The following is a 15,147-nucleotide window of genomic DNA, read 5'->3' on the forward strand; positions in this document are numbered from 1 at the left end:
TATATATGTGTATATATATATATAATGATTTTATAAAATAAGATATAGTAAAACAACTCTTTGTGAATGTAATAAAAAAAACTTACTTTTTGCCCAATAAAATAATCCTGTTGTTTGTGTTCTCTAGTGGCAAAACTACAAAGCATTGCTTTGAATGACTTTTATAATAATTTCTCTGCATTTACTTAAGTCCTTTTCTCTAAGGAGTTCAAGGCATTTCTTAACCAAGTTTTAAATTAAGTTTTAATCTCAAAATGCCCTTGAGATACAGGTAGGTTTGTGAAGGGATTATTATCAAGTAAGCATATCACATTAAAAAAAAATCTCTTCTACTGATATGTTTATTTTATTCAATAATTTTGGTTTCTATTTCATGTCGTTAGCCCTGTGTTTATATTAATACTACCCGAGAGTGAAATAAATAGTGGAAAATGATTGTATGTAAGACATATTATAGGACATGTACTTCACTAAGGAATTAGAATATTTTTACACTTAAGTAACACTATTTATAAAGTTATAATTTTTTCATTTTTATGAATGAATTTTCAATATTTGCCATCACGAACTCTTTAAGTTCTGAATAATATGAGTAAATAAGAATGTCTTTGATAAACAAAACTTTGATATATATATTTATATTTTTATATATGTATGTGTTTATAATATGCATACACATATAGATGACATATGAGGTAATTCTGATTGTTTATATATACACATCTTTGTTTATATGAGTAAATATGTATGGATGTATAACGCATAAAAACAAAGTTATTGGAAATGTATGATACTTTATAGTTGAATTATATAAACAAATATTTGTTTTGTGTAAAACAAACTAAATAGTTAAAATTATTTGACTCCTATTTTAGGAGGTAAATGTAGTAAATGTTTTGAACAGAAAATATATGACAAAGTGCTATGGTACCACAAGCTTAATGCAATTCTCAAATTGCTTTTGAGATTTAACTTTTTAACGATACATCATTTTTTCATGCTTTCAAATTTTTAACTTGGCTGATCTGTTTGCTTGCTTTTATTGCAAGTGTGCCAATTCAGAATTGAAAAGGAAAGAAGAAATAGAGCCATGACCCTTACTCTTAAAATATTTCCGTTGTTTACTCTGGAAGCCAAATGATTTAGAGGAGCTTGGGAGACTGTTTTGGAGGTTCATGTGAAGCTAGTTCACCAATCTTAGCTTCTCTTCTACTATTAAACTGCACTGCAGTCGATCAGAACTGGAAAGGAAATTAGAGATGAAAATATTGGAAATTCCCACCTATTCACTGGAGATTGGAATAACGACTCTGTCAGCCTGAAGGGATTATTGTGAGGCTCACATATCATAAAATGTGGAGTTGTCAGTATACTCCTATGGATAGGGAGAGGTTATTTTTGCACATAAAATCTGTGAATGATGAAGAGATATTATGAGCAGCCATTTTTACAGAAAAAGAAAGAAATGCTTATGTAGTTAAATAGATTATCTAGGATCACCAGCATTAGTGTTCATCCTTGCTTTATGTAGTTTTGGAAAATGAATCATTAATATTGATTTTAGATAATTCAAGGAAAATAAGAAAAGAGTAATTAAGGAGTTTGGAAACAGGGCCTCACTGGAAGCATTACTTTCACTGGGTACCTCCTGTGTCTGACTCTGCCTCGTGTTTTTGCACTGCCTGGAAAATGTGAGTACTTACCTAAGAGGAGACTGGGTAGGGTCAGTTAGAGTACTGAAGTTTTCACAGCTGTGAATAGTGCTTCCTGTAGCATATTAAAAGGAGCAAGAGGAAAGGAAAGATCTAGGGTCTGCGTTAAACCTTCACAAAGCTTTCCTAGCTGTTGAGCTGAATCATCACAAAGATATTAACAAAGGCCAGCGGGGTCTTTTTCCCTGCATAAGATAACACACAAGTTAGGCACCCCAAGGTAGCTAAACCCTGGTCTTCTTTGGCAGTAGGGGAGCCTGGTTTAGATGACATTTGCCTTTTGCTTTTGAAATTTCATGCCGTTACAAAATGTTCACTGTTGTCCAGGATGGAATACTTAATCTAAAGAGCACAAAACAATAGATTTTAAAAATAAGTCACATGGCTATATACAGGTAAAAGCAAGATGCTATTTACTGGAACACTATTAAGAAGAGTGCTTAAACTTGCAAATACTTTGTTCCTAGTTCTGAATGCCAGCTGATGCATCCAGCTTTAGCGGTGGGTGCATGACTCATCTTTCTGAGGGCCCTTTTAAGGCCTCTGTTGTTCAGAAAATGCAGCCCTGAAAGCTTTTATGTAGAACCGATGTCTCCTTCAAGCTCAAAGGCAGTTTCTCCTTGACCAGTTTTTCCTTGACATAACGTACTTAAGTGCCACAGCATTTATCAGGTACGCCTCCTCAGGTTTGAGTCATGCTATCATCTTTTATTTAACCATTGAAATATTTCAATCTGGCCAATCTGTATTGTGTATATTTCATGAAATGGTTCTTGAGCCATGAGATACTGCCAATAATTATTGAGGTCTTATGTGCCTTTATTTTTATACAACTATTGTAATCATTATAAAACTTTTTTTTGGAAAAACACATCAAGTAGGTACTTTTGTGAATGGTCTAGATCATTTAGAATCAACATGCCATATTTATAATTGCAAAGTATATATTCTGTTTTACTTTCAAATTTATTTTATGCTGTTTTTTCTTTATCAAGTTTTGTCATGCATATTATCTCATTAGGTTCTCGAATCACCTTGGAGTTAGTATGGCAGGAATTGTTATTTCCATTATTCTGATGAAAAAACTGAAGTTTAAATATCTAGAATGCCATGTCAATAGTTGCGTGGTAATAAGTGGTATAAAAATCTCTTTTGTTTTTTCCAATATTGGGAGCTTTACCCTATGCCATAGTGTTTTGAGATTTAAGATATTTGTTTGAGGGGAAAACATAGCTTGAGTATTTGCTTCAAGTATATAATAATGTTTGTTTAAAACAAGAATTAGGGTCTATAAATCTGTATTATCTGAATGAGTAAATCAGGTAAATAATCTAGAGAATATTGCTTTTGCCCACAATTTTGCCTGGTAGAATATATTGAGTTTGCACAAACTTTTTTGCCATGGAAATTCTAAAGGCAAAGAAAAAAGCACTGGAGAATGAAGACAAAACTGCAGCAAATGGGTCAAAAACAACCATGGCACTTTCACAAACTCTTTGAGCCCATAAAATTAGTAGAATTTCCAGCCAGACTCACAGAATTTGCTATATGTTGTTTTGTCACTTTCTTGCAGTTTTGTTACACATCTTATCTCTCCAGAAAGATTAAAATAAACTCTTGAAAGCTGGCACCCTGTCCTTTATTTCTTTTTTGCTTTATCACACCACCCGAGAGCTTATTACTATAGTCAAAGGCAATTAAAAAACATCAGTCCATTAGTGTTAGTTGAAGTTACTAGTTTAAGAAAGATTTTGCTGTAAAAACCCATTATTTAAAAATATTGGTCATGGATTCTCTAGGTCAGCGCTGGTAGTTAATCTCCAACTTTGGTCTCTAGCTCAGAGGCTGTACCAACTTGCTGTCATAGAATTATAAGTTCCAAAGGATGGAAATAGTATCTATTTACATAGTGCCCAAAGTGACAATGTTCAAGTATGAGTGTATACCTGATAGATTATAAACACAAATCAATAGCAGGCTTAGACGAGTGTCTTATAGCCCATTAAAACCTGCCACTGGGCTTCGGGGAGCCCATATATTCACTCCCTTGGATTTTTTTCTGTCCCCAAGACTAATGTTAGCATCAGATATAATATCCTCTTCTCCTCCCCACTCTCCACTCTTGAATTCTCTAAAAAAGATGACATCATTGTGTTTTGGTATTAAGAGTTTTATTGCATATCACCATGAACAGAGGGAGAAAAACAACAATTTATTTTAAATGAAGAAGATTAAAATCGTGTAAAGTCCCTAAAGAAGTGGCCTCTTTCCTTGACTTTCTGAAGATGAGAACTTTGGCTTTCTACTCTTTCTTCTGAGGGTGAAACTCACCAACCCACTTTCCTTCTTCTCATCCTCTATTGGAAAAATGCCATATGGCTCTTCTATCCCTCAAAGTTCCCTCTTTGTGAATTATATTGTGATCAAAAAGCCAATTCAAGAAAAATAATGGAAGACCTCAAGGAGTCAATCAGCACCTTTTTTTAAAAAAAAGAAGTTATTTTAAGTTCCAGGGTACATGTGCATGACGTGCAGGTTTGTTACATAGGTAAAAATGTGCCATGGTGATTTGCTGCACCTATCAAACCATCACTTCTGTATTAAGCCCAGCATGAATTAGCATATTTTCCTAATGCTTTCCCTCCTCGCCCACAACAGGCCTCTGTGTGTTGTTCCCTAACATGTGTTCATGAGTTCTCTTTGTTCGGCCCCCACTTATAGTGAGAACATGCAGTGTTGGGTTTTCTGTTCCTGCATTAGTTTGATGAGGATAATGGCTTCCAGCTCCATTCATGTCCCTGCAAATGACATGATCTCATTCCTTTTTATGGCTTCATAGTATTCCATGGTGTATATGTACCACATTTTCTTTATCTGGTCTATCATTGATGGGCACTTGGGTTGATTCCATGTCTTTGCATTGAATCAGTACCTCTTATAGACTCCATATTGAATTATAGTCAGCACACTGAGCTTCTGTCTGTCAATTAACTTATTCATTCTGCAAGTATTTATTGAGCACCAACCAGGTACAGGCACCATTCTAGATGTTGGAGATACAAGAGTGAATAAACCGAAGATCTCTGGTTTCACAGAACTTACATTCTAGTTGAGAAAGAAAGACAATAAACACAAACAGATGTCAGGTAGTGGTAACTGCTGTGGAGAAAATAAAGCAGGTAAGAGAGGTGGAGATTGCTATTTTATATGGCTCATTAAAAAGATCTGTCTGATAAGGTGATGTTTAAACGGACATTTGAAAAACTGAAAAAGAAGGAATAAGGGAGTTCCAGACAAGGGAAGAGCAAATACAAACTCCTAGAGGAGGCAGTATCATATAATGTGTAAGCTAGAGTAGAAACAGTGAAGGGGTGGAAGGGAGAGTACTAGGAAATAAGATTGGAAAAAGAGAGGCTGGTTAGGGATATGAAAGATCAGGTCATACAGCACCCTTGTAGGCATTGCTTTGTAGGCACTACCAGGGCTTTGAACTTTACTCTCAGTAAAAAGGTGAGGCATTAGAGAGCTTTCAGAGGAGAGTTGACATGACTTGATGTAGAACTGACGGACATCATTTAGGAGATGAGTGACATGACTCGACTTATACTGTGGTTATCTTATGATTTATTCAACAGGATTGTGAACCCTCTGAAAACAGGGGGTATGTCTTTTTTTTATCTCTATAGACACTATAGTTCCTGACACAGACTAGATCTTAACTGGCAAAATGTCTCCAGTGAACATCTGGTAGAGGTGTGTTTCAGAGTTGCAAAACAGCTATTTGTCTTTCAGGCACTTCAAAAATGTCTATACCCAGTGTAAATCAGTTCTCAGTACATTCATGAATTGATATTTTCGATTTGGAGAATCTTCTCATTTTTTTTCTTGTGCCCTTTGTGCTGGCTATGAGAGTCATTACATTTTTTATTTTTCCACATAGGCTGGAAAGAAAATTACAAAACTGCTTTTTCTGGCATCATTAGACGGCCATTTGCACCTATCAATCATGAGTCTGACTATTCTATGGATTCTATAGTAGATAAAAATGAAAGAAGGGCCTCTTAAGGCTAGTTTAGTTGTAATATTGCTGAACAATGACAATCTTACAGTAGTTCAGTTTTATAGACTCCCCTAACTTGATAGATCTAATTTCCTCTGTGTTTGTTTGGACACAGATGTAACAAATTAAATTGTTCAGAATTAGAGAAGTTGTTCAAGAGAACCTTTACTTGAAGTCCAAAGGTATCAGCAAAGATCACTACACACAAAGTTGCAATGTAGATGAGGAATTAATAAAGCATAGTCTGTTTTAAAGCCTCTCCTTCAGTCTGGAGACAGAAGACAAGGCCAAATGGGTGTCTCTGGAATGATAGACTTAGAAAGATCTATCTCTACATGAGCAGCACATTTTAATGTATTGAGTTCAAGTCTAGTGTCTTTCAACTTTTAATGTGTACATGAATCGCTTAGGGATTTGTAAAAATGCAGATTCGGATTCAGTAGGCTTAGGTCGGGCACTGAGCTTTGGCACTCATAACAGGTTCTCAGGTGATGCTGATACTGGTCTACAGCCTTCATTCTAAGGGTCAAAGTGCTAGCAGACAATGTCTTAATTGGATAGAACATTAGTTAACTTTCTGTTGCAAATGTAGATTGCATCACCATTTGACATTGTGAAACAAGGTATGAGGAAGAATTGAGGGGAAGTTAACTAATATTCCAAGAGAGACTTATGTGTGATGGCAACAGTGCCAGTTGCTTCACATATGCTGTTTTATAGACTTTCTAAGTGGCACTTTGAGACCCTTGTTTGGGTGATGGGTTTGAATATGCAGAAACAAGCCCTTTGCTGTAACTCTGTGTGGTATAATTCCTGAGGGGTCGGAAAGGTAAGTAATAAAGTGTGTCATTACCCATTATTAAAGGACATAGTCATGTATTAGAATTACAACCCTTCAACAGAAGGTCTACACAGGTTGAATGGCTTTTCCAAGGTAATACAGTTTATTAACAACATTGCAAAAACTAAAATCTATGTCCATGTTTCTCTCCTTCTACAATATTATGCTACTTCATGAGAGTAAATTTTTAACCAAATCCAGAGACACAGTGGGAATTTGATGTCTTGGCCATGCAAATTATGGAGTATTTTAGGAGGTGGTGAAGAGGTGTGTGTGTCTGTGTGTGTGTGTGTGTATATGTGTGTGTGTGTTTGTGTGTGTGTGAAGAGAGTGGATGTGTGGATGTGTACAGTCACCAGGAACTGAAAACATTAGATAACATTAGGTCCTAAATGTTCTGAGAATATTTAGGATGGCTAATGAAAAGAAAGTAAAATGGCATAGAATGAGTTAGCAATGGCCAAAATCAAGGATGAGACAGTTGACAGTGGAAATAAAACAGAGAAACAATAAATTTTAAAGGAATAAAACATATAAAAACTACAGGAGCTTTGTTTTTGATTAGACAGGATAAGTTACAGAGAGGTGGATATTTAACAAAGATTTCAAACTTCTATCTATTCTATGATGTCTCTCTTCCTCCCTGGAATCGGCATAGAAGTGATAAAAATCACAGGCATGATGATCACACCAAACATGGATTTAAACCTTAACATATTAACTGCATGACTTTGGCATGTGACTTATTACCTTTAAAACTCCCAAAGAATTTACAAGAAATTGATGAGATGATCTATCTAAAATATTGAGTTCAGTTTTTGATTCTATATTGATAGAATATAGAATCTGTGTCTATGAGACAATGACAATGTTATTAGCTGCAATGGGTCCTCAAGGATTTTGAAGCCGGTTTTGAAGCACATGAAAAGGCATGAGGAAGGTGCAGAGGCTACCATGCAGATGACTTGTTAGTATACCAAGGTTTGTGGAGGGTGCATGAGGTTCAGAATTGGGACACTAGGGTTAGATTTTTAACTGGACCAATAGTGAGAGATGGTTGGGTTTGAAAGGTATGGTTAAAGATTATAGGATGAGAAGTATGAACAATGTCAAAGGCAAACTATGTGTAGTCGTCTTTTGCCTAGAGTTGGCTTCCATATCTATGAAGTATTGACTACTGGGTAACAACAAATTAAGGTTGTTGGAGCAAAGAACAGGACTAAAGAAAAAGGGAACATATACAATGTAAAAATCAGGGAAACCATATGAAGACCAAGTAAGTAAATAGAATGAGGAAGACTCAGAGACTTCATATAGCCCAAACCTGGGAACACAAAGTCCAAGAAAAGAACGTGGAAAATCTGGTAGAGTGGAGGAAATGGAGCAAAAATCATTGTCTAATTGTCAGAGACAACCATCAAATCCAGGAAACTCATAAGAACTAAAGAGCATGAAAACTGGTAGAGAAGCAAATATGAAGCATCAGTAACAGACTCTGATACTGAATGTATCTGATATCCAACCAACCAGAAGAGTCTCTCTTCTGATGTCACCCTGGAAAGGACTGATCCCAAGACAGATGATCTGAGTGGAATGCCCTAGGCCAGAATAACCCCAAACATCTGCCTGCTTGCGATAAAGGGACCCAGGCAGTCATATTTCTCTGGCAGAGGTTATCCTACCATCCAAAGTGCTCCTGATTAGATTTCTTCTCCCTGCTTTCATCTTTCTGCATAGTGACACCAAGCTTAGCCCCTAAAGTACCATGTTGGTTTTACAGCCTTGTAGCCCGAGTCCTGGAGTTGCATTTATTTTCTGCCTCACAAGGGAGTAGAAGAGAAGGAGAAAGTGCAGGAAGTGCAGGAATAGGAGAAGAAGAAAGAAGAAATGAAGCAGGAAGTCAAATGAAAAAAAGAGACAGAGGTGTGGACAACTTAGGATCATGGCCCAGATATCAGGCATCTCCATAATTACAGGTGGCTATAGAAATCAGGAACTGCCTGGACGTTTTTTTTTTTTTTTTTTTTTTTTTTGGCAGCACTTAATGGAGGAATATTGTTCTCATGTGTATACTCTATGGCATGACTTCATGCACAATTGGATGTTACTTATTCATTTTTCCCCTTGAGAAAAATCAGAGTTTCTTAAGTGGGAGATATTTCTCAGTTTGGGGAAGATAGAGACTTGTCTCAATCTGTATTTTCCCAGTTGTCATATACATGAAAGACCAAATATCTGTTGAAGAAAGTATTGCAGAGTGACATTTATTCAAGACTCAAAATATATCAGGTGCTTTATAGAGCAGAGAGATAGATGTAGTCCCTTAAGGCTTAACTTGTGAGCATCAGCATTGACTGAAAAGAGCTAATTTACCATTTTCCAAAAGGAAATGGGGTTGAGAAGAATGATTGCAGCAAAAGTGCTTAAACAGAAAGAGCATCACAGCTTTTTATTAAATTATTGTTTGGGATGTTTTTGCAAACGTCAATCTTTCTGTGACATTTTACGGGGTAACAAGATTTTGGTGTTTGTGAAACATCACATTTTGAAATTACCCCAAACTAGAGTTCTCCTGCCTCTCTTTGTCAAATCGACACTGGGTACAAGCTTAAGAATCTCGAGTGACTGATGTATTAGCTAAAATTCTTTGGATTGCAAGTGACAAAAGTAAAGTTGAGTTAAATAAAAAGGTGTGTGTGTGAGGGAATCTGGTGTAAAAGAAAAGGAAAGAACGTCAGGAAAGGAAATTCATGTAGGCCCCTGGAATGTTTGGGGAGTCAATTCTGGAAAGCCCTCTGGTGTCTCTCCTTTCTGGGCTGCCCCTCCATGCACTTTGCTCTAACCTTCTTGATCTCAGCATATCTGCTTTTTAGGTCATGTTAAGGCTTTCCTGTAGCTTCTACATGACATACTTTAATTTCAGTCTCCCACAGTTACTGCACAACAGTTTAAATCCCTGTTCCACGTTATTGGGAGAGACAATCTATTTGCCACCCACCCTCCACTCTTTTAGGTCAGAAAGCCACCTCAGTTCATAATATGAACATGGCATCTGGGGGCCCAGCTTTGTAGATTTTGGGGCATGGAGGGTGAGCAGTTTCCAGAAAAAGAAAGTTGTCATGGGCTTGGTGGATATACCAAAGTCATCTATGCTATCATGCCCAGAATGCTGCCTGACACAGAGAAGACTCTCAATAAATACTTAGCAAATGAAATATGTGTTGACCAAATGCACCAGCAAGGGTAGAACATGTTTGCATTTTGAATGTTACAATAGTAGAGCTTTATGAACTGATTGCTGTTATAGTTAAATTTTAACTAAACTTATATTAGTTAAAATCATTTGACTTCAGGCTGTTTTTATGCATTTTTGAAATCATTTTAAAATTAAAAAAATATAATTTTCTGTGAGAACAGCATTGAATGACTTAACAATAAACATATTTGTTCATTTTAATAGTGTTTTTTTCCTGTTTTTAAAATATTTATTTTACATTCATGAAGACTAAGCCTGGAGTAATTCGCCCAGTACCTGTAAAATCCAGAATATTACTGAAAAAAGAGGAGGAAGTCTATGAACCCAACCCTTTCAGTAAATACTTGGAAGATAACAGCGACCTCTTTTCTGAACAGGTGAGCACATACAAGAGAAAATGTTTGCTATTTTGATAAATATAAATATATATAAAATATATATAAATATATAAATATATTTTGATAAATATAAAATAAAGATGTCTCTATGAATATAGTATGCGTAAGAACATGTTCATTTGATTGGAATATATTTGGTAATGAAAAATGCTTGCATAATAAATAGAAGTTGCTAAATAATTCAAGAATAATATTTTGAAGCATTTTAATGTGTTTTTTTTTTTTTCTAAAACTTGTCTATCTAGTGCTGGTATTGTTTTGGAGACCAAGATGTTGCTCTCTATAAAGACATCACAAAATCACTGATTGGATGGGTCATATAGGTGTTGCATTCTTATTTCTAAAATCCTGCTTCCAGCTGGATACAGTGGCTCATGTCTATAATCCCAGCACTTTGGGAAGCCAAGGCAGGAGTATTGCTTGACCCCAGGAGTTTGAGACAAGCCTGGGCAACATGGTAAAACCCCATCTCTACAACAAATTAAAAAAAATATATAGCTGGGTATGGTGGCGTGTGCCTGTGGTCCCAGCTACTTGGCAGGCTGAAGTGGGAGAATTGTTGAAGCCCAGGCGGTTGAGGCTCCAGTGAGCAAGTAATCATGCCACTGCACTCCAGCCTGGGTGACAGAGCAAGACCCTGTCTCAAAAAATAAAATAAAATCTTGCCTCCTTTTGAAGAGATGGAATATTTTAGATTTGGTATACTGAAGTTGACAAAAGTCCTGTTTAGATTCATATTAACAGAGACGATGCAGTCTCCCAGATTGGGAAGTAATAGTAACAGAATCGGGGATCAAGTCATATTTAGGATTTGTTGTTCATTTTGTTTATGTTTGAAAAGTCTATACTAGATTCTCCTTATATATGTTGAAGGAGGTATAATGGAGAATTGTCAATGGTGCTTTATATTTGTGAAAAATATGAAAATACACATTTATGCAATATAAAACTTCATAATGAATAGCAGAGATTTTAAATCTTTGTCATATTAAAATGCAGCAAAGAGTATGGGCTATATATTTTATTGAGAGATTGAAATATGAAATTAATAAGCAATGTAAGATATTCAGAAAACTTTCTGAATACAGTCAGGACATGTAAGATCATCATATTTTATAATCCATAATAAAATAGATTTAGGAATATAAGGTGTTATGCTCTTTTTAAAATTTTAGTTTGAAAATAATAACTAACAATATTCTTGAAAATATAAATTATAATTACATTTATATTTATATTTATAAAACATAAAGAATCTCTTATCTGATGTGTTAGCTCTGTGACCATGGGCAAGTGGTGTTATCTCTCTAGGCTTCAGTTTCTTTCTTTCTTCCTTTCTTTTTTTTTTTGAGATGGAGTTTCGCTCTGTTGTCTAGGCTGGAGCTCAATGGCGCCATCTCGGCTCACTGCAACCTCCGCCTCTTGGGTTCAAGCGATTCTCCTGCCTCAGCTTCCTGAGTAGCTGGGATTACAGGCGCCTGCCACCACTCCCGGCTAATTTTTGTAATTTTAGTAGAGACAGGGTTTCACCATGCCGGCCAGGCTGGTCTCAAACTCGTGACCTCAGGCGATCTGCCGGCCTCCGCCTCCCAAAGTGCTGGGATTACAGCCGTGAGCCACCGCGCCCGGCTGGCTTCAGTTTCTTAATGCACAAAATGAGGTGTTCAGATTAGGTACCTTTTAAGGATCCTTTAAACACTAAAATTTGCATTACTTAAAATCTATGATTAACCATAACTGGGTCTGAAATCCCTATGTAACCTTGAAAAAGTTCATTACAAATACTTTTTATGATTAGTTCTAGTTTTTATTTACAAAATTCAGATGAAAATATTTTCCATTGATTTATATACACTTTCTGAGAAGGCTATGATTTATAAGTCTGATTTTTTTAGAAGGCATTGATATGATCAAAAATGATAATTAGAGGCAATTATTTTAATTTTCTGGAATAAAATTATAGACCTCAAATTAAATTAAATAGGGAAATTTTGTTGATATATAAGGTTGCCTTCACTAATTCCATACATAACAGAAATGGAAACTCCTGTGGGGAAAACATTTTTTTATCATTAACAAAAGCACTTATGAAATATCTATTGCTTGTATGACACTAATATTTTAGTGGCTTTTAGTATGAAGTTTTAGACAGTATGGGATAATTATAAAATGTTTATAAAAATAATTTAGCAGTTATATGAAAATCAAACCACTAACAGTTAAATTTCACATATTATCCATGGAACCTACATTGTTCAAAATATGATCCAATGCTGGAAGATAATAACTTTATTCTTCTGTGTGAGTATAATTTTAAATTCATGCATTTTACTTCAAGCAAGACTCCTTGTAGAGTATTGAGTTAATCTACCTGTAATTTACGACATGTACTGTCTACTGAAATGATAAATTCCATTTTCAAGTGCAGAAAATTCTTGTCATTAAAAATAATTGCCATTTCTTTTCGTTGCTTTTTCTGACTATAAAGTAAGTTTAAAGCTCTTTTTACATTACAACATAAATCTATTTATTTCTAAATACTTGGCTGAAAATTTGACCTATTTTGCAAATCTTAAGTTACCACAGACCTAATCTTATCTATATTTTCTTTCAACCAATTTATCCTCATTTGTATCCCCATTTGAATGTGGAACATGAGAAGTAATAGCAGACAATGCACTGTCAGAATTGAAAGAAGCCTAGCATACCACTTAAAAGTGAATTCCAAAGGTCCCCTGGCCTTATTCATTGACCTGGCATGAAAGGGAAAGATAAGATAGAACCTTGGGACCACTGAACACCTGGGAAACGGCATGTACTGTCAACTGGCCTTTTTATGTTGAGCTTTAACTATCATCTCATTGTGTCCAGAATCTACAATGGAGAGATACCAAAACAGCTCTCAAGGGTAGATGCTTACGTCTGCTTAAAAAATAACTTGAATAATAAAATGTATAATCTCAGCATTGCTACTTCATCAGAACCTCAATAGAAGAAAGTGTACTCAAATTCATTTCTAGTCACTATTGTCTTCTCTTACACTGCTGCCACAGAATAAATTGAATGGTTCCAAACTCAGCTGATCTCATCCACCCATGTAATGGAAAATTCTTTAGCCAGACAGTTGGGCCAAATGGAAGTAGCTCACAGTCACTAATCTGCCTTGTACTGGGGACAGTTCCACATGACAGGAGATGTTGGATGGGATTGTTAAGTCAATAAATTTTTCCTAGCAGCTTCACTGCCATTAGATATGATTTCAAAATTCTGTTACAAAATGTCAGACACTAAAGATGATAATGAGACCTGACAGAAATGTATTTACTGTAGTTCAAAAAGGTGCAGCTGGGCAGCCTTTTGACCTGATTATGAGCTGAAAATTTGCCTGGAAACAGCTGCTGAGTTCTAACAGCCAAGTTTGAAACCAAATGCATAATCAAGTCATCGAAATTTACTAGCCAACAACTTTTACATCAAAGTGGCATAGGCCAGGAAGCATCATTGTATATTAGATTTTTTTTTAAAAAAACGAAACCTTCAAAATGAAGATTATGCTTTTCTGAAATTGTCTTCGTTCATTATTAATTAATAATTAATCTTCACTCGTTATTCAGTTAATTTATTATTGTGCCAATTTGTGGTGCTTTTCAGTTATTACAAAATGTCCTCACACTTTGCCATAAATCTATGGATTTAAAAACTGTGGTGGTGTGTTTAAAGCATATTTTTATTGATAACTAAAAGTAGAGCTGGAAAATAATTAGCAAAATTCATTGGACTAATGGGCATCCAGAAGACATACAGGCTCAGAAAAGCAATTTGCTGATGAGAATGAAGATGCTAAAGAGCTGAATGGTATTTAGTTTATTCTGACTATTTATGAATTTGCAAAATATATTGCTTGTTTTCTGATCATTTAATATGTGTAATTAGATAAAGAGGATTTCATTGAAGATTTTTGGTTTAATATAAAAGGGCAATAATTCACCTCATTTACATAAAGTGTTATGTAAAAATCCTCTCTTTATAAATTAATAATGCAACTCATAGTATTAGATATATTGATACTTTCTTAAAGCCCTAAGGAAATGTGTGAAAAAAGGTTTTGGATAGAATTAAAGGGAGAATATTGTTTCATCTGATTTTCCAAGAAATATTTTTCTTTTTTTTTTCCGTTTGTGAGAAATAACACTTTCCAGCATGTATGCCTCTTAAAATTTATTTTTCTTCTACTCTGTTTAAATGGGAGAGAGAACATATTTTCTATGAAGATGACCATTTAGAGAATTTCCTCTGTGCTACCTCACAGAGAACATAAAAGGGTAATTATAGAGACTTTTCCTTGTTATAGTATTTCATTCCCGCTTTTCTTCTGAGTTTTTTTTAGACATCTGACTTGCCTCTTTTCCCTACCAAAATGACTATGCTTGACATTCAACTTTGATGATTATGTCAGTGACTTTCAGGTTTCTATCTAATGATTCATCAAGTTGTATTTCAACTGTGACCTTCAACTTCCCTTCTTTATGTCACCCACATGTTAATATTACAGGATAAATACCTTTGTCGTAGGTGAAACTGACAATACTGCCTTTTACTCTCTCTGAAAAACTCTGGCTTTGTCACAAACTACCACTTTTTCAACATTTGTTTCTCAATCAAGATGGCCCATATTCTTCTGTCATAAAATCATCTTTTATAATTGCTAACATTTTATTGAGAAATATTTTGGGGTAAATGTTTAAATGAACCTTTTTAGGTGTAGAAATGAATTAGTGGTTTGCTAGATTGTTTTAACGAGAGGAAAGCTGCAATTTCTTGTAGTGTTACATTTCTTTGGGAAGGTTTACGAACAGAGATTTGGCTTCTCTAAGTTTTGC

General features: G+C 35.2%; 1 protein-coding gene across 18 annotated transcripts in view; it reads left to right on the forward strand.

Annotated features, from left to right (window-relative positions):
* Positions 1-15,147, forward strand: part of MLIP (muscular LMNA interacting protein) — a 247,311-nt gene that overhangs the window by 173,018 nt on the left and 59,146 nt on the right. For all 18 annotated transcript variants that reach the window (XM_047419509.1, NM_138569.3, XM_024446579.2 and 15 more), the window contains one exon: positions 10,118-10,246. In XM_047419509.1, coding sequence (XP_047275465.1) covers positions 10,118-10,246 — 129 coding nt within the window. The remainder of the gene's footprint in view (positions 1-10,117; positions 10,247-15,147) is intronic.

Source organism: Homo sapiens, chromosome 6, assembly GCF_000001405.40.
Source record: "Homo sapiens chromosome 6, GRCh38.p14 Primary Assembly".
Classification (NCBI taxonomy): Eukaryota; Metazoa; Chordata; class Mammalia; order Primates; family Hominidae; genus Homo; species Homo sapiens.